This window comes from Homo sapiens, chromosome 5, assembly GCF_000001405.40.
Source record: "Homo sapiens chromosome 5, GRCh38.p14 Primary Assembly".
Taxonomy (NCBI): domain Eukaryota; kingdom Metazoa; phylum Chordata; class Mammalia; order Primates; family Hominidae; genus Homo; species Homo sapiens.
The window spans coordinates 75,669,715-75,695,614 of NC_000005.10; the positions used below are offsets into that span (position 1 = coordinate 75,669,715).

Genomic DNA, 25,900 nt, shown 5'->3' on the forward strand with positions numbered 1-25,900 from the left:
GATTGTTCTCCACGACTAAGAGTTGTCTTGCTCAAAATGCCATTTTACCCCTGTTGATAAACTGCAGGTTAGTGTATTTGAAAATGTTATCTCTAGGTAGAACAAAAAGAGCAGACAGGCTATTACTTTGCCACCTGAGGTTATTGCTAAAAATCAGTCTGCCAAAATCACTGACCATATTGTCAGGAAAGATCCTTTAAAAACTTATCAATAAATTAGGCGGTGTTGTAGCTCTCATGTAATAACAAGCATTCAAGCAAAATACAGGAACATCTGCCATTATTTTCACTGAAGCAGTTTTACCTGGAGCAAGAAGATAAATGAGTGAACACCGACTGATCCAATAGTTTCCAGCAGTAGTAGGTACAAGGAACAATGTGTGGATACTTACCTTCCATCACATGATCTCATAATATTGGAGTTTTTCCCTCAACTTTTACCCTGTTCCCATTGGCCCCGAGAATACTCACCAGTGGTGCTTGCAGCATTTACCCTGAAAAAACTTTGCCATGAATTATCTTGTTTTTATTATTATTTTTGGATCACTCTAGTATATTGACTTTGGAAACAAAAGATATCATTCTACTTATAGCATTCTGGTTTTACTAGTGGTATTTCCATTTACAAAATATGGAAATTCTTGATCATTGAAAATGTCAAGTCCTAGAAAATGTAGCATTCCTATATGTGATGTTAACATCGTTCTCAAACAATTGTTGGCCAAAGATTCATTCCATGAATCCAATTTTTCAGAAATTGATGATTCGGATGATTCAGACTATTCTGATGTTAGTTCTGTTTAGAAATAACTCCAAGAAGTTTGTATATTTGTTTTTCACAATGAAAATCAGATTTGCTTCAGCCTCAAAGAGCGTATTTATGTAAAATTGAAGAAGTGCTGGCAGTGAGCTGCACTTTTTTTTCTAAATGGGAAAAGGGTTAAATGTATTCTTCCTATGAAAGAGGTTCCATAAGAACTCTTAGAGAAGATGAAGATGCAGTCCACTGAACTGGCTAAGGGTATGTGTTCTGACGCAAGGCTGTGTGAGCTCACTCTTGAACTCCAAAGCTGACTGACTGGTTGTAAACCTCGAGCAAGTTCTATGACCTTCCTGTGACAACCTTCTCATTTATTAACTAGGAAAGAAAATAAAAATGTTTACTTCAAAGGGCTGTTGTGGGATTTAATGAATAATAGTGCCTGGTAGACAATCAGTGCTTTAAAAATTTTAGGTATTCATAAATGTTATCTTATTTTTTCCAGAAAAGACTCGTCATTTCAAAAGCAAAACTGACTCAAACTCCAAGAAATGTGTAGTTTCATAAATGCCTAAAGAAATTGTATTTACATGATTTTCCACTCAGCATTCAGTTCTTTTAATGCCATAAATTTCTTCTAGCAGTAGCACTGATTTTCAACTATGATGATGGTGGTGACAGGGAACTCTAACAGATGAAAGAAGAGTAATACCATGATACTTTTCAACCACTAAAAAGTCAAATATAGTTTTTTTTGCTGAGGGCAAGTTGTATGTGATTTTCCCATTTCTATCAATCATTTGATGTAATCCATGTAATAAGATAATCTAGGACGGTTTTGTATGTCATGTTTTTTTAAAAAACTCATGGGAGCAGCATCATGGTACAGTAAAAAAACAAGGGTTTTTATAATAGACAAATATGGTTTTGAACTTGGTTTTGCCACTTATTAGATGTGAACCTTTGGGCATGTTAATGTTGTTTACGTTCTTAGATCTTCAGTTTCCTTCTCTATAAACTGGGAGAGATGTCTATTTAATCCATAGGGTTGGAATGAAGATGAAGGGAAAATGCCTGTGTAGCCTCACGCCCATAGTACGGAAATCAACTGCTATTTCTCTTTCAGTAAGAGAAACTGGGTTTGGAATTTATAGTCATTGTTGACTTTAAATCACACATTTTGTGTAATATATTACTTAGGAAAGACCAGAAGTATGTACACCATTTTTTTTTTTTTTTAAATCTCTTGGTGATGTAATTACAGATGATTATTTTCTTTGTACTTTTGGGTACATTCCATTCTTTTTTTCACAAAGAACATGCATTATTTTTGTAATCTAAGAGTTATGAAATAAATGTAAAATTGAGTGTCAGTTTATGTGCACCTATTCATTGGAATTTAAGACTCTCCATTCTCAGATTCTGACTCTAAATTTACAAGGCACATACTAAAACCATAAGCAATTTCAATCCAGTTATTCTATCATGAATTTATAGTTTTATGTCTTTGTCTCATACTGATTATAAATGGCCCACTTAATCTTATGAATGTTTAAAACAGGTAATAGATTCACATGATTCCAAAACGTTTTTCAAAAACATATTGAGAAGAAGTATTGTCCCATCTGTTCTTCAGTATGGCCAGTTTCCACTGACCTCTCTTTCTCTATTACTGCTCCCCACCAGATTGGGGTAACCTCTTTATGCAAAAATAAACAAATATGAATATATACTATAACTGTGTCAAGTGTTAAACTGTTGAATTTACATTAACTTAGGCCAACACTAATTGCTTGGTGCTTTAGACAACATACATTTCTAGAGCTTAAAGCTTAAAAATATGTTTATAATATTCTTAATCACAACATTCATAATATTCACTTCAGTTTGTCCATATTGTTTTGGCTTGGATACTGAAAACCATTCCTAGTTGTAGTCTAGATTCCTCAAAAAGTAGAGCTTGTCTAAGACCGAAGTTTGTGTGCAACAACTTTTTCAGAAGTGTACATCCGGGGAAGGAGCGGAGGAGAAAGGGGAGTTGTCTAGGGAGGAGGGAGAGCAAGAACAAAGCGAATTACCTAAGTGGCCATCACTTGGTACAAGCATAACTGATTATTTAATCTTGGGCTACTCTATTCTGAGAGACATGATATACTAATGCATCTCAGGACAATTCATACAGGGAGAAGGAAGGAAGAATTGGTCTGTTTACCATAATGCCAAGTATTAATTCTGGGTTGCATGAGTGGGCTCCCCAGTGGAGCCTGCACTATCCTGACTCAACTGGGAGTGAACGGGGAAGCCCGGGAAGAGCACACACATGGAAAGGGCACGAGATGAGGTGCTTGTGGTTTGTGTTCATGAAAAGCTTGCTGAAGACCATGAGGGGTGGAGCTGTTTGTTTACCACAATGGTAGCTGGGCCAGAATCCAGAACAAGTGTTGTGTAAATATCTAATACCCTTTAAGAAACAGCCTAGTAATTCAGAAAGGCCTTAGGATTCTATTTGCCTATATCACATTTATTCTCTGATGTCCTGTGAACAATGTGAGGCAGCAAGAAAACCTATTTCCTATAATAAAAATTAGTGCAGAGAACTTATATTCAAATTAGAAGAGGCTTCAGATGATTAACTCCATCCACTCTGTTAAAAGAGATGGAAATTGAGGTCCTGGACAAACTCTTTAGAACCTGTTCATTTTTATGTATAAGTACTGTGAAATAGTAGGTAGATTTTATTCTTATTTCACAGATGAGGATCCAGAGATTCATTTAATTGTCTGGCCCACACAATCAGTCAGCAATGAAACCATTAGAAGCCAAGTCTTGTTCACCTAAATCAGTTCTGCCCAGATGGTTTCTTTGTATTGGCCAGCCATTGAAAAATTTCTGCCCAGGCCTAGGTTTGCTGAGTTGCTCAGGGCTACGCCACCACAGAACAGTGTTTAGATGTTCGGGGAGAACAAGGTAGGTTCAGTGCTGCAGAGTTTCAAATAATAAGGCGAGAAAGAACACCAGAAACAGGCTCATTCTAACAGGAAATTTCTGATACTTCTGTAACTCTAGTGCTAGTATTACAAATGTTTTCCCTTTTGGCATTAAAAAATGATTCATAGGTGTTGCCGTTTCCGTCTATTTTCAACTGTTGTTAGAGTCCTGGAAAAATGAAGACTAACATGTTAAAGCCACAAAAAACGGGGCCGCGCGTGGTGGCTCATGCCTGTAATCCCAGCACTTTGGGAGGCTCAGGCGGGCGGATCACTTGAGGTCAGGAATTCGGGACCAGCCTGGCCAACATGATGAAACCTTGTCTCTACTAAAAAAAGATACAAAAATTAGCCGGGCATGGTGGCTGGCACTTGTAATCCCAGATACTCGGGAGGCTGGGGCAGGAGAATTGCTTGAACATGGGAGGAGGAGGCAGTGAGCCGAGGTCACACCATTGCATTCCAACCTGGGTGACAGAGCGAGACTCTGTCTCAAAAAAAAAAAAAAAAAAAATCATTATTACACTTGGTCTTTTTTAAATTAAAAATAAAAATATCCTAGTTTCCACTAGTTCTAATACTTTGTTTTTAGTAAGGTTCCCTCTCAACACTTTGAGTGAATTACAGCTGTGTAATATTGGAAATGATTTAGTGTTTTATAAATAGTGAAAATAAATTTATATATTTTGATGCTGTAATCAGCAACAGGCTAAACATATTAAAGAAATAAAGTCCAGTTTCTTTTTTAATTTAAAAAAGTTTTACTTAATTGCTTAAATAAAAAATAACATTAAAATAATTTCTACATATAGTTACAAAGCATGGTAGAGCTTGAAAAAGCCTCTTGTAATTTTGAACAGATGAACATGATGTCTCCATGATGTTCTAACAATATGGAAAAGTTAAAACCAAAAGACTTCTAACCCTTGGTAAGACCAGAGGGATTAAAAGACCCCACTATGGACATATTCACTTTAGTCAACCACTTTTATGGAATGAACACTTGTGAGAGACTGGGTGTGAGCTGATCTGGTTCCAAGTGATCTGGAAGCTGAGGTACTACTTTCAGGATGAATGGTCCGGGGATATTTTGCTGCAGTTGCTTGAGGAATGGTTTGCTGAAAAGACAAAATTCTGCTTTAATAATATCCCAAGATTATGTATACTATGTATCATTTCATCATCTATCATCTATAATTTAACCCAATAAACATTTGTTAAGATCCAGTAGAAAGAAGCAATGAGTGGAGTGAAGCAGCTGTTAATTAGATGAGGCCTTTGTCTGTAAGGAACCCCTACCCAGTCTGACTGACATGTTCAACACCCACAGTGTAATATCAGAGCTATATCCACAAGGCTCATTAAGAAAGCCACGGCAGCCATTCCTCCAACAGGGCCAAGTGGAATCTTGTAATGTGTACAGAGGCTTTGTATACAGAGAGAAACTCTGTGGTGTCTGGAAGAGGGGTCAGCCCTGAGTCCTCCCCTCATTCCATCCAACTTCCTTCTCTCTACTTGACTGTTAGTATGTGGATGTGATTATCTCACAATCCCAGGGGCACACGGAAGCCCTCAGGATGCAGTCTGGTCCTTGCTTTAAACCAGAGCCCTCATATTTAACCTGGTTCACCTGGGAGCAGACTAAAACTTTTATGCACATCACCTCAGAGCTCAAAGGAACACCTCAGACATGAGCACTGAGTCATTAAAGTCAGGACACACGTGACTTACTTGACACACATAATATGCATGTAATGCATGTAAGTACACACTATGTATACAAGTACACATTTACATGTAAACATGAACAATATGTATCAGTACAAGGCTTTTCCCTATTAAACCCGATAAAGCTTCTTAGTAGCCAGCAGTGGGATTTGTTATCAAGTTCTCAGTCCATATCACTGACTAGGACATGTCAATTTCTATTAGGGTCTTCCACTTAGAAAAGTCATTGTTAAAATAGTTTAAGTAAAATTACATGTATTTGGTCAAAACATTCACTATGTATTTAAAAAACTCCAAGCTGTAGTTTTTGCTTAAAAAAAGAATGAAACTTCTTAAAAACAAAAGATCCTGTCAGATTCCATTTTAAAAAGAACAGAACTCCTTTTTAAAGAAAAATAACTTCTTTTCTTAAAGTATCTTATAAAAACGTTTATTTGTACATAAACAACTGGATAACCATTATAAATAGGAGATACTCTTGCAACAGATAAGAAATTTTAGTTGCCAGTCACCTAATTAGTTGCCAGCCACTAACCTGAGCCTGCCAAAAAGGCTTTCTCCTTGAGGAGGATGGGCAAGAGGAACTGTAGAAATAAAGTAGCCACTGAAATTATGATACACAAAATATGACAGAGAATGAAGTGGCCCTAGAAGCATGCAGTTACCCAGCAGATGAGGCTACAGTGTCACAAATCGCATCCTTGGTTTTTTAGTAATAACTATTTCTGGTAGATTTAGATCTTGATTCCCAGGGTGAAAAGAAATACAGTACAAATGACTGCCACTGTGTCTGTCACATAATCCAGGCAGCTGATGGCTATCTGGTTCATACACAGTTAGTGGGTAAGAAATGCACATACTGAATAAAGGGAGGGCAGCATGGGAGATAAGTATCAGAAACAAGGGTTCTAAATGTTTAGTACTTTGATTTTTCTTCTGTAAAATATGAATTCCCATCATTACTACAAAACAAAAGCTTGTCTAATAAAAAATAAACACACATGTGCTCTCTTTACACCTTCTTTACCTCACAAATGGACAGTCTCTCACCATCTCTATACATTTTCTACATCTGAAAAAACAGAAGTGGGTTTATTTCTTCTCATTTTTGATAACTTGTCTTCCATATTCAAAAATATATAGAAAAGTCTTCTACGAACTTTCAGAGTCTGTCCAACTTATGAAACATGAAACCTAAGATAATTCTAAAATAAATCCTCTGTCATCTCCATGTCTCTATCTGGACTTGGTGCTTCTATCTCCAGCCTTCCACCTCGCTAAGGTCCCACTTCACCTGAAGTTCAGTTCAAATCAATCCAGCTTGTCTTCATTTAATCATCTAGTGCCCAGCTAGTACTCGGGAAAAAAGGATTTAAAATCATTCCATATACTTTTTTTTTGCTAATACTTAGAAAGTACACAGGAACGTTGTCCGATGCTGAGAATTTATAGAGGGCATTCTCTTTTAAAATCAGTCCCTGAAATCAGCTGGGGGTGGTGGCGGGTGCCTGTAATCCCAGCTACTCGGGAGGCTGAGGCAGGAGAATTGTTTGAACCCAGGGGGCGGAGATTGCAGTGCGCCAACATTGCGCCATTGCACTCTATCTAGCCTGGGAGACAAGAGAGAAACTCTGTCTCAAAAAAAAAAATAAATAAAAAATAAATAAATAAATAAATAAATAAATCCTTGTTTTTCTTTAGGGATGTTCTTATCACTCTTATTATACTTTTTGAGATAATTGTTGATTCGTACACATTTGTAGGAAATAATTCAGAGATATCTCATGTATCTTTTTCTAGTAACTTTCAGTAAGTTAAATTTGCTTATGGTTTTATAGTTTATAAAATGCCTTAATACATCTCGTTTAATTTTCACATTATCTCATTTAATCTTGAATCCTAACAATAACCCAAGGAGCTAACTATTTTTATTAACCCCATTTTACAGAAGAGAAAGTGGAGGCTCAAATATTTTACTTGATTTGTATATATCACAAAGCCAACAAGTAGCAAAGCTGAAGCACTAACTCGGGTTTTAAAATTTTTGCTTCAAATTCAATGCACCTTCTTTATATCACATGCATTTACTGCAAGTTGAATTTTGTTAAACTAAAAACATGCTGACAATTGTACTGAAAAAAGGGGAAGACTTTTTTTAAAAAAGGACCAAAAATTAAAAACTATAAATGTAGGGGAGTTTTCTTGTAATCAAATATCTGCTACATGAGCAGCTAGTGAGTGAACAATTTTTGTCTCTTTTTAAACTGATAATAAAGCATTTACATATTTTACTCTTTTGACCACAAACACACTGGATTACTTTTAGTATTTTATAATTTTTACAGTTTGGAAGAAACGATGTTTCTGAAATTAATTTCCCAACAGCAGAAACGTAGATTTATAGCAGGTTTGAGAAAAACAAGTATATATATTAAAAAAAAAAAAAAAACTGTAACAGGAAAAGGCAGAACAAGTACCAGTCATCATAAATTTTTATCTTCTCAACATGTTATGTAAGTGTTTACTAGTCTATGAACTCTCAGGAAAAAGACTTTTTGACAAAAGGTCATCAAATGTGGACTCACCACTGTGACTGGATGATGTTTTTCCACAACAACTGAGCTCATGGGAGGAGAAACTCCCATTATAGCTAAACTGCTGCTAATTCTATTTTTTGAAGCAAAATCACATCTTCCTGTGATCCGGGCTGTAATAGTTCTTCCTGCTTTCTGTTGTGCAGAGGTTACAACTCTTGGCACATACTAAGAAGAAAAAAAAATAAAAGAAGTAACAAGGTGGCAGAAAATCCACAGCAAAATCTATTGATTCCATAAATTATGAAGAATACACAGGCACTTAAAATAACTGTATGTTCAACCAACTTTAACATGGAAAAAACAAAATCACAAGACGAAAAGCAAAACAAAACTGAACACCCCAAAATATCCCTTTAACCTGAGTATGCCAACGATTTTATAAGATTTTAGAAACTTAAAAAACCAACTTTTTTTTTTTAAATGATAGATTTATAGAAAGACACAGAGATCATATTGAAAAGTACTGTGTGCTCTTCACCCAGTTTCCTGCCATGGTTACATCTGACATAATTAGAATATAACAAAGTCAAAACCAGGAAGCTCACCATGAGATAATGCCTGTGTATAGATCTCTGTCATTTTATCACCTAAGTTCCTGTTAACTATCACTCAATCAAGATACAGAATACTCATCACCACGAAGATCTCCCTCGTGCCACCCTTGACAGTCATATCCATCTCTCTGTTCCTTCCCCAACCATCCTTAACCTCTGGAAACCATTAATCTGTTTTATGGACTCTTTGATCCTTAAGCATAATTAATATTATCATTACACATATGCTTCTGTGTTCTGCCTTTTTTCCTTCTCATTTTATTAATATACTTTTTTTTACGAGGTAATACAGAGACCTGCTATAGTTCTTAATGAGATGGTTTTTATACCAACATACTACTTTGTCTTTCTTTTTCTATTACATTTAGCACATTTTGCAAAAGAAAAATCCTCTTTTGAGAGTTACTTCTGTATAATAAAAATATATTGCAAACAATGGAACGATCATATCAAAAAGTATTATCAGCTTTTATAGCTTTTGCTGCTTATCGCTGGATAATACTCCAGAAAAATATTTACAGCAGGAATAACACGTAAGTGGACTATTTTTCCACTGTCAATCAATTACACAGCCGCCTGTTTAAGTCTGAGGTGAAATCTACTATTCAAGTTGTGGTTCTTTATTAATGTTTCATATTTGTATTCCATTTTGTCAACTATTCATCTTATTTGCTAAGAATTGAAAGGATATTAATATTTAAATTTAATAGTTCCTGACGAGTACTAAACTCATTTAATAATTATAGATACTTATCTCAGAGTGTAAACGATTTCCCCATTTCATGTATTTGTCTTAATTTTCAATGCACATCCATTTTTTTAAGTTGTGGTTAATCCTGTCATTAATTTCCTCTTGCTTCCATGATGAAACCAAAACCAGCTTTGGACAGCTGAGGTAGTTATATTCTTATAACATTTACTTATTTTGGCTTAGCTTATTAAAACATTTGAAATTCCAGTGTGAAGTATTAATCTAAATTCATTTTTTCTCTAAACAGTTTTTCCAAAGGCATTTATTAAGTATCAATCTTTTCCCGATTATTATAGTTCATCTGTGATTCTCCATATAGCTGCATCTAGCTACACACAGTCACAGCTGTATACTGAAATGGGAAGAGAGTGGGCTTCAGGAGAGATGTCTCTGGGAAAATTAAAATGACAGAGTATTGATGTTTTTGGAAGACCCTATGGAAAACAGCATTCAGTGGGGTTTTGTAATCCTTGGAGAGTTTGGAAATAATTCACTATAGTTGGATAGAAAACCGAAGATAAAAATGAAGCAATTAATTCTAAGAACAAAACATTATACCAGAAAGGAAATGTAGTCATAGTACACATTCATGGCTTAGCTATATTAGTAATCATAAATGATTTAATCTGAAATGGGAATATCTATAACATACAGGGAGGATAAGGAAAGTGAAGAGAGAGAGAAGGAATAAGGTGGCATCAGGAGGCCAAGTCCTCTTATCTGTAATAAGTTAACAGATAATGTTTGAAATTAATAAATGTAGAAATAATGATATAAACATACTATTTAGGAAAAAATGGAAACAGAAGAAACAGCTAACAGAGTTAGGGAGAGGAATTTAGAAGACTGTTTCTCACTATAGTCCTTGTAAAAATGATTTGGCTTTTTAAACCATAAACTTCTATGGATCTTATGAAATTGAAAAACTAAATCTCAGATTTAAAAATATTTACAAATATGTTTTTGTGGACTAAATTCATGCTTCTGGCCTGAGGGAAACTTTGTCCTATTACTTATTACAATAAGGGACAAAAAAGATTTTACAAACTCCTGAAGATGCTTAAATGCTATTTCAAAATAGAAAACTAATTGCTGGCAGGAATATTCTTTGCCAAAATGTGGAAATAAGTACAATTGAGTTTGTAACTTTCCTCCTGCCCAATCACGCTTGAGGGGTGTCCTCTCAGTAGCCATGATTCTCACCTGGAGCTTCAGGTGTGAATGAAAAACTAGAGAAGTCTGGACTGAAGAAAATTAGAGTAGCAGGAAAAATGCTCATAGATGATAAGCTTCATTCAACCCAGCTCAGAATTGCTTTAGAATGCCTTCAATAATTTGAAAATATATACTCCTGTAAATAAAATGACTTCTAAAAGACTTCTAAAAGAAATCTCTATACGCTCATTGAATTAAATAGAAGTTGTCTTAAATGGCTCGCATGTTTACTGTCGGCTGCTTGTTTTCAGATGGTTTGTCACTTGTACTTGTTAATGTTTATTTAATGTATTAAAAATTGTATAAATTGATGAAAAAGTTGAAAATGCATAAGGACAATTTAGAAATAATTCATAAAGATAAATTATTAGAAAAAAGTTGCTACTAATCAGGGGGAGGAAAGAAAAACCTAGAAGGATTCTCTAATCAGATTGTTTGGAAAGTTTTGTTAGGTTCATGCTTTACAGAAACTGAAATTGGAGATCATAGAAAATATATTGGGTGTGGTTTATATTAAAAAGATGACAATTACAATCTTTGACCCCACATTCAGTTTGGCTCCACATTTAAAACCAGCAAATTAATACATATTTATGTTTTAGGATAAAATAATGCATTAGGTATGTATCATTCTCTGCAAATTAAATGACCACTTACTGGTACCAATCATGTTGGAGTTCATTAAATTTATCAGCTTAGCTGACTTTAAAAAATGCTATAAAAATAAAAATTCTAGCATTTTAAGCCACATCAACATAAGCAACAAAATTGAAAGGAGTAAGAAAAAAAATGAAATGACATTAAAAACAGTATTTGTAGCTTAATATTTGACAGAGAGACAGTACAGATCATTGGTTAAGAGTAAGAGGTCTAAATCAGATTTTCAAAGTCTGAATTCCAAATCAGTTACTAATCGTGTCCTTAGGCAAGTTGCATACTCTCTAAGCCTCAATTTCTTCATTTATAAAATGGAGAACGCAGTACCAACTCCCTAATGATACCCTTTCACTTTCTATTCAAATGAAGAGGAAAATTAGAAGAGAAACTTTACTAAAGGTCTTTACCAAATAGCTTTAAAATTCAGTGAAAAATATTTCCCCTCAATTATTCCAATTGAAGTTAGAAAAAGAATAAAATGCCATCTACTGTTCAACTTTATGAACTGCAATATGCTTGCTTGTATAACTGTCCAGCCTTTTTTGAAAAATGGTTTCCACCATGAAATTCTGATATTGTCTTTAACATACTGAGGATGTCTGCATTAAAGAAAATCATTTTAATATTATTATTTTTTAAATAATTTTATTTAAATTTAAATAATTTTTTAAAATAATAATATTTTAAAATAAGATATTATTTTATTAGCATGGTAATCTTCCATTCTCCAGTTATTTGTTTGCTAATTCTCTGTACTTTCTGGACCTATCTCCTTTTAGCTACTGGAAATACCAAGAAAAACTGAAAAAAATTTTTGAATGTTCATAGGAAGCCTCTGTGATTAAAATGACAAGAAAGATAACCAAGCCAGGATTGCAAATCTCTCTCTTCTTTTCCTATTCCCAACAATGATGGTTTCACAGTAAGTTAGCCAACTACTGGATTTATTCCTACTTTTGTTATCAAGTTTCTTTTAAAAACAAAAACACATATTTGAGGTAAATCTGAGTATTTCAACTATATAAGGAAGGAAGAAAACTAAGATTATACTTAGAGATAGATTTAATTGTGATTCTCTTTTCTCCCTGGCCCTAAAGGCCACTTACTTATGTGACTGAAATGGAGTGTGTATCTGTTTTTGAAGAAGTGGATATAGTGGGATAGGGCAGACAGGGAAGGGCTGTCTACAGAATATTATGGTTTTCAGGTTTCAAAGACTTCAACACTATCTCCGATGACCAGATTATTCAAAAAGTTAGCAATAAAAAGGGTGCTAAGCAAACTCATTCATTCAGTTCTTCCCATACATATTCAGGTTTACATATAAATGCAGATGTACCCATGAAGTTACATTTTAGGAAGAGAATTTTGAAAAATCTAGCTCCGCGTGTGTTAACTGCATATGCAAGATGAATGAGAAACCAGAACATAAACACAGTGAGTGAATGTTTAAATGAGGTCATCTGTGCAGGATCACACTTCAAAATGTGTAATCATGGAAAACAAACACAGCTGAAAATATGTCAGAGTTGAATTTTAGTGTTTTATTTCTTTCTTTTTTTTTTTTTTTTGAGACAGAGTCTCACTCTGTCACCCAGGCTGCAGTGCAATGGCATGATCTTGGCTCACCGCAATCTCTGCCTCCCGGGTTCAAGTGATTCTTCCACCTCGGCCTCCTGAGTAGCTGGGATTACAGGCGCATGCCACCACGCCCGGCTAATTTTTTTGTATTTTTGTAGAGACAGGGTTTCACCACATTGGCCAGCGTGGTCTCAATCTCCTGACCTTGTGATCCACCTGCCTCGGCCTCCCAGAGTGCTGGGATTACAGGCGTGAGCCACTGTGCTCGGCCAATGTCTTATTTCTAAGTCACAGCTCCCCCACATAAATTTCTCTTAGCCATGTGCTAGATATTTTTCAAACTCTTTGTGTCAATAATTGGTAAATAACTGATCTCAATGTATTTTCTCCCAAAGTTAGTAGCTCTCGAAAGGTAAAAATTCAAACCTGTTAGAATACTAAAGGTGACCACTTGTCTGTCTCAATACCTCCTTTAGCTACAGACAGCCGTCCAGAGCAATGGCACCTTCTGATGGCCTGCCAAGGGAATTTTAAGACCTAAAACTTATTCTGCCTCTTCTTTCCTCTTATGTAAGTGGTTAGGAGTTGGGGAGAAGAGGAAGACAAGCAAATCAGAATCATCTCAGGAGCTTTATAAAACTATACATGCCTTTATACCAGATCCACACCACAGCAGGAAAGAAGTTAACAGTGTTGTTTTTTTTTTTTTTTGAGACAGTCTCGCTGTGTCGCCCAGGCTGAAGTGCAGTGGCGTGATCTCAGCTCACTGCAACCTCTGCCTCCCTGGTTCAAGCAATTCTATGCCTCAGCCTCCCAAGTAGCTGGGATTACAGGTGCCCACCACCATGCCCGGCTAATTTTTTATATTTTTAGTAGAGACAGGATTTCACCATCTTGGCCAGGCTGGTCTTGAACTCCTGACCTCGTGATCCACCCTCCTCAGCCTCCCAAAGTGTTGGGATTACAGGCATGAGCCGCCGCGCATGGCTTTTTTTAAACTGACTAACTAATCACTGCTAGCTCTGCACAGGTGAGTCTGATAAGCTTGGCTTGCATCTGTACTCCACCCTTACTTGAGAAACATGGTTTGCAGAATACAAGTTTAACAACAGGAGGCTAAGGAGTTAGAGCCACGATGTGCTTCATCTGAAACTCTAGTTAAAAAAAAAAAAAAAATTAGAGACAGGGTCTTGCTCGTTGCCCAGGCTGGAGTGCAGTGGTGCAGTCATAACTCATAGTAACCTTGAACTCTTGGGCTCAAGCGATCCTCCTGCCTCAGCCTCCTGAGTAGCTGGGAGTACAAGTGCACAGCACCATGCCTGACTAATTTTCTACTTTTTTGTAAAGATGAGGTCTCGCTATATTGCCCAGCCTGGTCTCAAACTTCTGGCCTCAAGCAAACCTTTCACCTCAGCCTCTCAAAGTACTGGGATTACAGGTGTGAGCCAATATGCCCGGCCTCTTACCATATTAACAGCTTGATCAATTTCATTTCAGGCAAGTTCTCACACAAACCTTCCATCCCCATTTAACACTATCCTCTTGGCACTTCTCTAATAGCAGCTCACTGATTCTAGGAAAAACTATTCCTCTCCATTCCAATTACAAATTACAAATTAAAACTCGATCAAGATGGAGTTACTACAGAGCAGTGTTAGTGATATATCTGCATTTAGGAAAAAGGAAAGGTGTTAGCTGAATAGAAAATATAAAATTAAATATACATTAACCTCCCACACCTTTGAAAACACCCAATAGTGTTCTTCAAACATAGTCTGTCCTTCACTCTTTCTCAAATTAAATCTACTTTTCCTACATAATTTTTTTTTTTTTTTTTTTGCGACGGAGTTTCACTCTTGTTGCCCAGGCTGGAGTGCAATGGCATCATCTTGGCTCACTGCAACTTCGCCTCCGGGGTTCAAGCAATTCTCCTGCCTCAGCCTCCCGAGTAGATGGGATTACAGGCACACACCACCACGCTCGGCTAATTTTTTGTATTTTTAGTAGAGGCGGGGTTTCACCATGGCCAGGCTGGTCTTGAACTTCTGACCTCAGGTGATCCGCCCACCTCGGCCTCCCAGAGTGCTGGGATTACAGGCGTGAGCCACCGCGCCCGGCTCCTACATAATTTTTGAAAAATATAAAAAAGTTCTTTGTCTTAATTATCACTACTATGACAGCACTTTCAGGTATTTTCATTACAATTTAATGCTCTAGTCACTTTGTGTATTAAATATTTTCAGTGACTTTGCCTAAATACCACAGATTTTTTTTTTCTCCATAGGAAAATATTTTATGAGTTCAAAATATTAAATTTACAAACAAGCTTTTTTTTTTTTTTTGAGATGGAGTCTCGCTCTGTTGCCCAGGCTGGAGTGCAGTGGCGCGATCTCGGCTCACTGCAAGCTCTGTCTACAGGGTTCACGCCATTCTCCTGCCTTGGCCTCCTGAGTAGCTGGGACTACAGGCGGCTGCCACCACACCCGGCTAATTTTTCGTATTTTTAGTAGAGACGGGGTTTCACCGTGTTAGCCAGGATGGTCTCGATCTCCTGACCTCGTGATCCACCTGCCTCGGCCTCCCAAAGTGCTGGGATTACAGGTGTGAGCCACTGGGCCTGGCCGCCCTTTTCATAAGGTGGGACCTGTATAAACTGTACTAACCATTTCTTCTGATGCAGCAGTAGCTGCAGATCCTGCACCAAGAGCAGAAACAGGAACGTGAACAGAAGATGCGGAAGCAGCCCTGGTAGAAGTCATCGAAGCAGCTGAGGGAACGGCAGTCGCGCTGGCTCCTCCGACGGCGGCTGGTGGGGATGGCAGCAGTGGTGATGTAACTGGTAAGGGCATCGGAGGAGCTGAAGGATCCAAATGAGCAGAATGTTCTTTTCCTTGAACACCAGGACCATACTCTTCCTTTTTATTATTTGTGGAGTCTATCCCTATAAATCACAAATTAATTCCATTCAAATTCTTCCAGGTTAGGACTACTATTATCTTCCAAACAATGAAAACACATACTGGCTAAAGTTTGGTCCTAACAAAAATTTAGATGTTTACAGTATATTAGATACAATGTTCAGTTAATACAGTTTGTCAGTATTAACTGGTTAATGTCAGCATTAACCACTAAAAACTTCAGACTACTTCCTTCCACATGTGAAAGCTAATGGATCATTTGTTCTTAAATAAAAGATGAAAATAAATTATGTACTCAGCTGGGACCTTAGCTAAGTAGAGTATATTGCCATCACAACTGTCACAAAAAATATGATCACAGTGAGCCTGGAGATCTAGGTTCCTTTGTATTAGTTCATACAAATATCCTGATAGATGGCCAAAATGACCTGCAATCAATCTTTAGAACCACTTTCTGATATCACTATACTCCCTCATTTTCATGTATTGCGCCTATCCTAACAATTTATTTTTGTTCTTGAGTCGTCAGAAAACAAAAATAAATCAATAAAACTAAAATCTTCACTTTTTACACTGTAAAAGAAATGGGTTCTTGCAGATAAATTATATAAATCATAAGAGCATATTTGTGCACCTAACTGATTTGTAGTGACACCCCAATCACTAACCTTCCCTCAAAACTGAACCTTAATCTTGATCTAAGGAGCCAATAATGTCAAATTCCAGGGCTAGTACAAAGGGTTTCTTCCAATTTTAGATGTTTTCGCTCCAGTATTATAATTTGGTTAGTTTCTGCTTAAGACTGTATCTGTGTGGTATCAAACAGTGTGGTGAGGGTTTAGAAATTCAGTCAATGAGCTGTTTCAGAACATCTGAACAGAGGGCATTATGTAAGTTGTATGTTTAAATGGTTTTCTATGTAGTTCTCTTTCCCTCCAGAAATTTGGGCCTCTGCATAAGTCCTTTCCTTAGACTATCTGTATAGAAAATTTGCAGAGTATTAGTTAGTTAGCTTATTTAAGAAGTTTAACAATGATTACAGTGCCTACCTAGATCCTTTGAACTCCTCTGATGAAAGGGACTAATTCAATATAAAATACTTTTAATTTGAAAACAAAACACACACTGAGTTTTAACTTGTTTTGGTAGAGATTCTGAGTGTCTATCTTTAGATGGTGGCAGACATTAGGAGATGTAGAAACAGTATGAAGGTCAGGGAAGAGAGGCAGGTGATCAACTCTTGCTAATATAGGCTGATATCAGATAACTCTTAAGTTTAATAATTAATCTCATTTTAGCTGGAATAAATTTTTCACTTGTCAAGTATTTTTTTTTACTGTGCCTAATTGGCACAGTAAAATTGGCAGATATAATTTTAAGGACTTTTTGTCATGTTCTAACTTCTTCATAAAAACCTCTAATTTGTAAGATTTAAGATACTGCACAACATGAGAGGTACTGCAAATTACAGACAGCAAAGAATCGGTACAAATAAAAAACCAAATATTTATTTTGCTCTAACAAGACAGATGCATTAGGAACTTTACATTATTAAAAACTGCATTATAAAAAACAATTTTTTTTTTTGTGAGATAGTCTCGCTCTGTCGCCCAGGCTGAAGTGCAGTGGCATGATCTCAGCTCACTGCAACCTCTGCCTCCTGGGTTCACGCCATTCTTCTGCCTCAGCCTCCTGAGTAGCTGGGACTACAGGTGCCTGCCACCACGCCCGGCTAATTTTTTGTATTTTTAGTAGAGACGGGATTTCACCATGTTAGCCAGGATCGTCTCGATCTCCTGACCTCGTGATCCACTCACCTCGGCCTCCCAAAGTGCTGGGATTACAGGTGTGAGCGACCGCGCCTGGCCTATAAAAAACAGTTGTTTTAATAGAAGGGGGCCAAAAGTAATTTTTTTTTCTTATGAGAACTAAAAAAAATAGGTGTCATTAAAATGTCATAAAACCTAAATATCACAAAGCAGATCCACTGAATTATACTGAACTTTTTTGCCTTTGGTAGCTCTACCAACATTATTGCTAATGCATGCTTTACCATTCTTGTCATCTTTCTCATCGATTGTTTCAAAAGTAACAGGAGCAAAAGAAATCATGTTGTGTAATTAGCAGAAGACATTTTCTTCAAATCCTCTTATGGATATTGGCCTTTAGGAGACACAGTTGCATTTCAATTTACATTTTAAGATGGTAAATGTATTAAGGTGGGAAATACTCCTAAGTCAATTCAAAATCTTTTTAAGTAGGTTATAAGAAACAGGTTTCTTGTAATTTAATGTAAGAAGTTCTAATAGGAATTTGTCACTTTACTTGTGAAACTCATATTTCTCCCAAGTAAACAATTAAATTTCTCAATTTGTGACACACAACTTGCTGATACTTAGAACTGAAACAGACTATTCTATCATTGAAGGTGGTGAGTTTGTTTTCAACCCTGATACTCAAATAAAAGACCATTTATTGGAAAAATCAAGTACTCACCTAGGTATTACCAAAATAAACTATTCAGCCTTGAGATTCCATGATTCTCAGTTTCTAAATTAAATATGGCCCACAAACCACAACCACTTCAGATAGAAAGCAATTTGCCTAAACTTACTCCTATCCACAATATGCATGCTTTAAATAATAAATGTTTGTTGATGTTTTAAAATAAGGGCATCACAAGCACAGAGAAGTTATTCATTGGATTGAAATCATGTTAATCATTTACAAAATCTTGAGACGTTGACTTGAATTAAAACTATTAATAATTACATCATGACTATCATCTTACACGTTAAAGTGCATTTTGTCTTTTAAAGTGTTTTCAGATATGTTTTACTGCATCCCACAAGAAGCCCCTAGGAAGCAGGTAAGGAAGGTTTATATTATCTCCTTCGCTCAGAGAAGAAATCTAAGGCCGAATGAGGAAAACAGGCCCCTGGGTAAATTGGTGGCAAAGGATTCTAGTTATGGGCTTTTCTACGCCATGCTGACAAAACTACTACACAAACCACTCTTATGTCAGACAATATGTGGATTTTTAAAAAAAATAAAATTACTTCTATAGATAGGTCTATATTTATGTTTGCTGCAATGAGCTTAGTTGAGGCCTTTCATAAACAGGAAGATTAGGAATTTCTAAAATGAGAAACCATGACTAGATAACAAATACTTACCAAAATAGTCCAAAATATTTGGCTACTTAAGAAAAGACAAAATTAGAAGTTTTGTACTTAAAAAGGCATTAAAATTCTTAGTTAAAAGAGATTTAAAATAATGCTATACATTAAAATATTATTTTCAACATTTAGCTTAAATACTTAGGAGTGACAGTGTACTTGATCAGATCTAAGATACCATAAGTAACCATGACTGAGCTCATTTTCATGGCAGATTTAAGTCTGGATATGACACCATAGAATTAAGAATAGCAGCACCTGGATGAAACATACCTACTGCAGATTATTTGTACTGTAGACCATACCAATCACCAAAATCTCCTCAAATCTTTTTTTGAAATTAGGCAGAGAAACTTTAATGAAATACTAACCTGCATCATTTCTGTTTTGAAATATAGTCATGGCTTCAAGATTTAATGCACATACACCCCTCATGAAAGCTTTTTTCATGGAATCTTCAAAGTGCTCTTTTTCATGTTGCATTCTTTGAATCTCAGCTTTTGCATTTTCCAAAGCTCCAGATAACTAAAATAAGAATGTTTAAAAAGCAAAACAATTTGAGATACAAAGAAGAATACTGTCAAAAAAATAGATATATACTTTGAGATTATTCTCATGTGAAATATTAAAAAGTTTGTCACTTACCTCTTCTGCTATGTGCAATTTATTTTAAAAGGTACCTCTTACCTCTATTATCTCCATCAACAAAATGCTTTCATTCCTAACCTTAAAATCAAGGTTCAAACAAGGGGAATTTTATCCAGTCCCATTGAATATTGCTGATGTATTTTCATTTCACAAAAAGATACACCATTTTTTACTGTAAAACTTTTATGTAGGATGTTAAACAAAATACATTAAGAGCCACAGACAGCCCTTTCAGAAAAAAATAAAATAAACTACATGCCTGCAATATTAACAGAATTTTTATAATGTAAATGTTACCTTCAGTATTTGAAGTGCAGAGTGACCCTAGGTACAACACACTTTCCCATAGGCCAAACCTCAGGGGACTGCATTTTTTGCATGTCGTAGTGAACTGCAGAAAATTATTTGTATTATGGATTTATTTTTAATCTTAACAATTTAATGCTGTAATGAGTTATTTTTTCATTTTAATATTTAACTTCAAGAGGCCTATTGCATTCTTTAGAATGGATTTTATTTCATTTCAATTCCAAATGTTTTCCCATGAAAACAATGTTAATTTTATTATTAAAAGTCAATGGGAAAAAATAATTTCAATTTCTTTTTTTCTTTTTTGAGATGGATTTCTGCTCTTGTTGCCTAGGTTGGAGTGCAACAGTGTGATATAGCTCACTGCAACTTCTGCCTCCCAGGTTCAAAAGATTATCCTGCCTCAGCCTCCCGAGTAGCGGGTATTATAGGCATGTGCCACCATACCCAGCTAATTTTTTTAGTAGAGACGGGGTTTCACCATGTTGACCAGGCTGGTCTCAAACTCCTGACTCAGGTGATCTGCCCGCCTCGGCCTCCCAAAGTGCTGGGTCTACAGGAGTGAGGCACCGCGCCCAACTAATAATTTCAATTTCTATACAACTCCTTATATCAACCATGTAAGAATATACAATAAACATTAAATTAACACAAGAATAAACGTTTTCATTTTTTTGTCTGCATTCTTGATTAAAGACCAAAAGAAGAAGTCTATTAATTAATAGTGAGTCTATCTATCTTTTTATTGTATTAGAAGAAAGTGAAAACCAGAAAAAGATGCTTACCATAGCAACTTTGGCTTCATAATCATTGGAAATCTGGATACAAACTTCTTCAGCTCTTGCTTGACAAGCTCTTTCTACCACATCTTTCCACTGCTTTTGCACTACGGAACGCCAGACTTTCCAGACTTTCTTCAGTAAAGTTCTCTGGTAGTACTGGTCAGCTAGTTTACCTTCATAAACCTAAATAAAAGTAAAATATAACTTCAAAAACACAGTTGATTGATAAATATATTGGTAGTAATAATAAACATAACATGGTGGTAAGTGTACATATACACATTATTTAATTCTATGTAATCATATTATTCTCATCTTGCATATAGGAGAACAGGCTTAGAGAGGTTAAGCAAGCTACGTAGTTCACATAAGTAGATGAGTAAAGCCAGACTTGCCTGACTCCAGAGACTGAGCTCTTATCCATTACATCATTGCTTTATGCAACTAATCAAGTTAGAGAAAAAGAATACAACCAAATGAAAGAAAATGAGCAAATCACCACTTGCCATCTTAGTTATGAATTTAGCAGGACCAGGAGAATAACAGAGTGGCTAGAAGGCAGGAAATGGTGGTGGCTGTGGCTTCAGATGACACTGCTTTCTCTTCAGTTTGATGGCCACCACAAGCAAGATTTAATTTATAAACCCTGCCATCATATATGGTGCCAATCCAAATAAAAACTTATGCTATTTTTCTTTTATCAATGAATTTAAATTCTTTTGAAGAAGTAGTTCCAATTCTCAATTTCTTCAGTTTGAAAAACTATCCAAAAGTGACAGTAGCCTCAACTATTCTGGCTAACATTTAAAAATAAATATGTATTCTCATTATTTCACTTGACAAGTTTCAAAGTAGAGTATAAATATTCATTTTAACCAGCTTACTTAATGTGGATTTAATCTACTGGGATTAATTAAAAAAATGAAAAATCCAGAAAGTATTCTTAAAGGAGAAATCTTATTCCAGGATAAAGTAGGTTGAGCATCTCTAATCCAAAAATCTGAAACTTTTTGAGTGTCAGCATGACACCACAAGTGAAAAATTCCACACAGAAGTACTTAACACAAACTTTGTTTCATGCATAAAATTATTAAAAATATTGTATACAATTACCTTAGGCTATATGTATAAGGTGAAATATGAAACATAAATGAATTTTGTGCATAAGGTGTGATATGAAACATAATCTAAAATCCAAAATTCTCCTGGTGCCAAACATTTTGGATAAGGGATACTCAACCTGTACTAGCTTTTTCCTTAAATACTAATCTCTTGGAAACTAAATACACAGAGATTATTCCATAGCTCACATGAATATACATGGAAAGCATATATATATATATTCATCTCCTATATTCATGTGTCTCTAAACTATGTCTTGTTGTGGGATATACTCATACTTTTCCACTTTTGATACAACAATTTAGTATTCTCTTTCAGTTCACTATTTACTGATATACCAACTCAGCTCTTACTTAAAATAAAAGATGTTCAAGTTTAAATGATATACTACAAGCTAAGGATAACTTTTAAAAAGCTGTACAGGTATGGCTTTCTCTGACTCTCACTCTAAGGCAAGTCTACATAACAAACATTTATACTGTGATTTAATGTATAAATATAGTAAAGCCTCTTTATGAATAAGTTGTATTCAGGCATTTTAAAAGTAGAAACAATATAGGAAGCATTTGATATGTTAAACATAACTTCTTTCTCCAATAACCACATCTGAGGGGGTTCTATTACCAGGGCCTTTACAATTTAGGAACAATCCTTATTAACCTACTATGAAGCAGGAAATGATGTATCTATTGTAATATATATATATTATATGTCAATAAGATCTAAACTGTATTTTTTCCAAACTACATCAAAATCAAATTCCTTTGAAATAAGAGGAACATTAAATCACAAATTCATTTTGACTTATTAGAAAACAACTATAATAAGTGATCCTGAGCACTTCTGAATTCAGAAGTCTAACATCCATCAGCTGTCTTCTGCTTTGACACTTACATCCTGTCTGGCTCTGACATGGCCGATTCGCCAGTGGAAGAATGTTCTCATCAACTCTATCTTTTCCTTTTGCTTGCCTATGGCATGAGACAAGCTAGAAATCACCTGTAAACAGCAATTAACCCAATTATTGTGATATTAAAATAACAGCAATTGGTAAAGTGATTTTCTCATATATCAAAAAATGCTAGAGAGGATAGGTATGGATCACTACTATATTCATTCAGTTAACCTCATTATTATCTTTAAAAAGATGGTAAAACTTTCTCACATGAATATACTAGATATCAACTAATGAAAGGGAACAAAAGAAGAAGGAAGTCTTCATTATGTGTATATGGTAATCACCAATAAAAAGTTTATGTATATGCAAATTAGCTACTGACATTCAATTCAGGTAAAACAATTATACATTTGAAAGTTCTCCTATATACACCATGTCTTTATTCACTAGATTTGAGGGCAGGGGCCAGAATATTTAGATATTTAAATATCTTTCTGGTCCCTACTACTATCTTGGATATAGAAGTTCCTCAACGACTGTCCAATGATTTTCTGGATTAAACAAACCTATAAAAGCAAATAATAGTTATATATGTAACTATTAATATGTTATAGTTATATATATAACTATATATTATATATGTTATATATACCTATTAATAACATGTTATACATATAACTATTAATAACATATATAACATATGTCATACATAAAATGTTATATATATAAGTAAATATATATAATTAATGTTATACATATAACATATTAATAACATTATATATAACTAATGTTATTAATGTTATATGTTGATGTACTTCTTCAGTGATATTATTACTCTTGTTCTTAAAAAAAAATTCAGAAGGCTTTAAAATCCTAAGATAATATTCTCTCTTATAAAAGAACTGAATAACTGAAATAAATTTCTAAAAATAGTCACATTAGAAAGAGATTTTGTAAATTGGGCACATTTACCAAGAGATATTTATAACTGCTCTTTAAATAATTTCCAGAGAGGAAAAGGGCATACATTCTAAGCTACTGGAAATATTCTATGTGTTAAGCTGAATCGTAGTACCTGTCTATCCACTTTACTCATTCTCATAAACTGAACATATGATATCTATATTCTTTGTGATACTTCAAAATAAAAAAATTAAACTTAAAAACCATGGGACAGAATTTTGAGTATAACAAAGAAAATGACTGACATTAAAATCCATTGTTTCAAAAAAAATTCTATAAAATGTTCAATTTTATACGAAATCAAGGTATGTTTAAAAAAATTATAATCTTTAATTCATGAAAACACTTAAGTGCTACTTCTGCAGACAAGCAGCTGAGGTGTCTGCCCAAGTCCTCCTCTTCTGAACAACACCACTCTCCTATCCATAAGTGGATGCCCCTCCGGACATCCATTTATAGCCGGGCACAGATTTGTTGCCCATCTGCTTTGCTCCAGGTACTGTGTCAGGAGGCAAAAAATTAGCACAGACTTGAATCTTACCCTCGAATTCTTAAGAAGCTAAAGGAAAGTGAAATAAAAGATGTTTTCTGTGTTTATCAATAAAATGAAGAAAGCCTTCATTAATGAAAACACATCCATCACAGATAGAATTTGAGATGCTTAAACCCAAGCATGGTGGTATGCACTTGCAGTCCCTGGCAGGGGCTGAGGCAGGAGGTTCACTTGAGCCCCGGAGTTTGAGATTGTAGTGAGCTATGATTATGCCTATGAATAGCCACTGCTCTCCACTCTGGGCAACATAGCAAGACCCTGTTTCAAAAAGAGAGAGATTAAAAAAAGAATGTGAGATCCTTAAAATGACCCCTAAAAGGATGGTTTAAAATGTAGATAATGCTCGTTCCTTCACGTTCGCTTAAGGTTAGGAAGAAAGGATTAGAAAGAAAAAAACTAGTGTACTTACATTTAGCACATACTCTTTTTAAAAAAAAATTTTTTTTAAATTGACAAATCATAATAGTTTTATACATTTATGGGTTACAAGGTGATGTTTTAATGTAGTTTACAAAGCAAACACTCTTAAAACATCAAGAACACAGAAGTCAATGGTGAGGGTAAAATGACATTATGCTGATATGTTTAATAGGAAGAATAAATCCAATGGCTATGAATTTTTCTGTCAGTTTCTGATAGAACCTGTATCTTGTATGAGGTAAATAATCATTTCTTAGAATTTATTATCTAGCAAGACATTTACTGAATCTCAGTTAAAAAGAAATATAAAAAAGAAGACCTCATCTTTTCTCCCAATGGAGATTTCAAAGGTTTTTTGCAGCTCCTTCAATTCATTGATCTGATTACACAGTTGTTTTAAATGTGCTGCATGTTTTTCTTTCTCTTTTCTCATTTCCATTCGGTGCCAGTCAATAAAATTAAGTCTCCATTTACTTAGTTCAGATATGATGTTTGTCTGAAAAATTAATATAGTGACAATTAAGTAGTTTGTTCGTTAATATCACTTCTTAAAACTACACTGAAATAAAGAAACATTAAAAAAATCAGAACAAGCATCAACACAAAAGTCATTAAAACAATTGGAACACATTAATGAAAAACATATGTAAGTTCAACAGTCACAGGTCTGTGCAGTTCACATTCATCATACTAGGGAAGCTAATTTTTTCCTATTTTAACTAATTTTGTATGAAATCTTGTTGTCACTTAAAAAAATTTCAGGTCTCATTCACTATGTTCCTTTGTTTATTCAAGGATTAAATGTCCATATGAAGATGGATCAGGAATAAAGGGAAACACATAACTATGGCATAGGCTAAGCCATACTGACTGGGAAGTTATTTAGAAATGGGTGATAGTGGAAAGAAACCATGAGAGTTGATACTTGTTTTCCCAAGCCATTTATCACAGATTATTATCTGTTATAATGGACTGCTATGTTCTGTCACCCTACTGACTGGCACAAATAAAAAGACCAAATAATAATTTGTTATTAAAAAAAAACTGGACAACATATTAACTAAACACAATTTAAATGGTTGGTGGTATAACACTCCAATTGACTTACACTATTCTAAGTATGAAACCTGTTCCAAGGGGGGAAAATGGTAAAACCATGCTGAAGAATTATTTCTAGAATTTAAGGTTCCAAATGAGGGAAAAATATAAATGCCACAGAACTCACATGGGCCATAATTTCTCTATATATGTGAATATGCAACTTAGTTTTCTCAAATTA

The 25,900-nt window shown here is 35.0% G+C and overlaps 2 protein-coding genes across 17 annotated transcripts in view; one reads left to right on the forward strand and one right to left on the reverse strand.

Moving 5' to 3' along the window:
• Window positions 1–2,132, forward strand: part of ANKDD1B (ankyrin repeat and death domain containing 1B) — a 60,394-nt gene extending 58,262 nt beyond the window's left edge. For all 7 annotated transcript variants that reach the window (XM_017009814.2, XM_017009815.2, XM_017009816.2 and 4 more), the window contains one exon: window positions 1,265–2,132. In XM_017009814.2, coding sequence (XP_016865303.1) covers window positions 1,265–1,326 — 62 coding nt within the window. In that variant the 3' untranslated portion in view covers window positions 1,327–2,132. The remainder of the gene's footprint in view (window positions 1–1,264) is intronic.
• A 2,277-nt stretch (window positions 2,133–4,409) lies between these two features.
• The window catches only part of POC5 (POC5 centriolar protein), a 43,314-nt gene continuing 21,823 nt past the window's right edge, over window positions 4,410–25,900 (reverse strand). For 5 of the 10 annotated variants that reach the window (XM_011543160.2, NM_001099271.2, XM_047416726.1 and 2 more), the window contains 7 exons: window positions 24,941–25,117; window positions 22,682–22,786; window positions 20,669–20,848; window positions 19,298–19,451; window positions 15,493–15,770; window positions 8,060–8,236; window positions 4,410–4,864 (listed from right to left, as the gene is read on the reverse strand). In XM_011543160.2, coding sequence (XP_011541462.1) covers window positions 4,721–4,864; window positions 8,060–8,236; window positions 15,493–15,770; window positions 19,298–19,451; window positions 20,669–20,848; window positions 22,682–22,786; window positions 24,941–25,117 — 1,215 coding nt within the window. In that variant the 3' untranslated portion in view covers window positions 4,410–4,720. Of the gene's footprint in view, window positions 4,865–8,059; window positions 8,237–15,492; window positions 15,771–17,233; window positions 17,615–19,297; window positions 19,452–20,668; window positions 20,849–22,681; window positions 22,787–24,940; window positions 25,118–25,900 lie in introns of those variants that run through there. The other 5 variants (XM_024454363.2, XM_024454362.2, XM_005248436.2 and 2 more) reach the window with 4 other exon arrangements.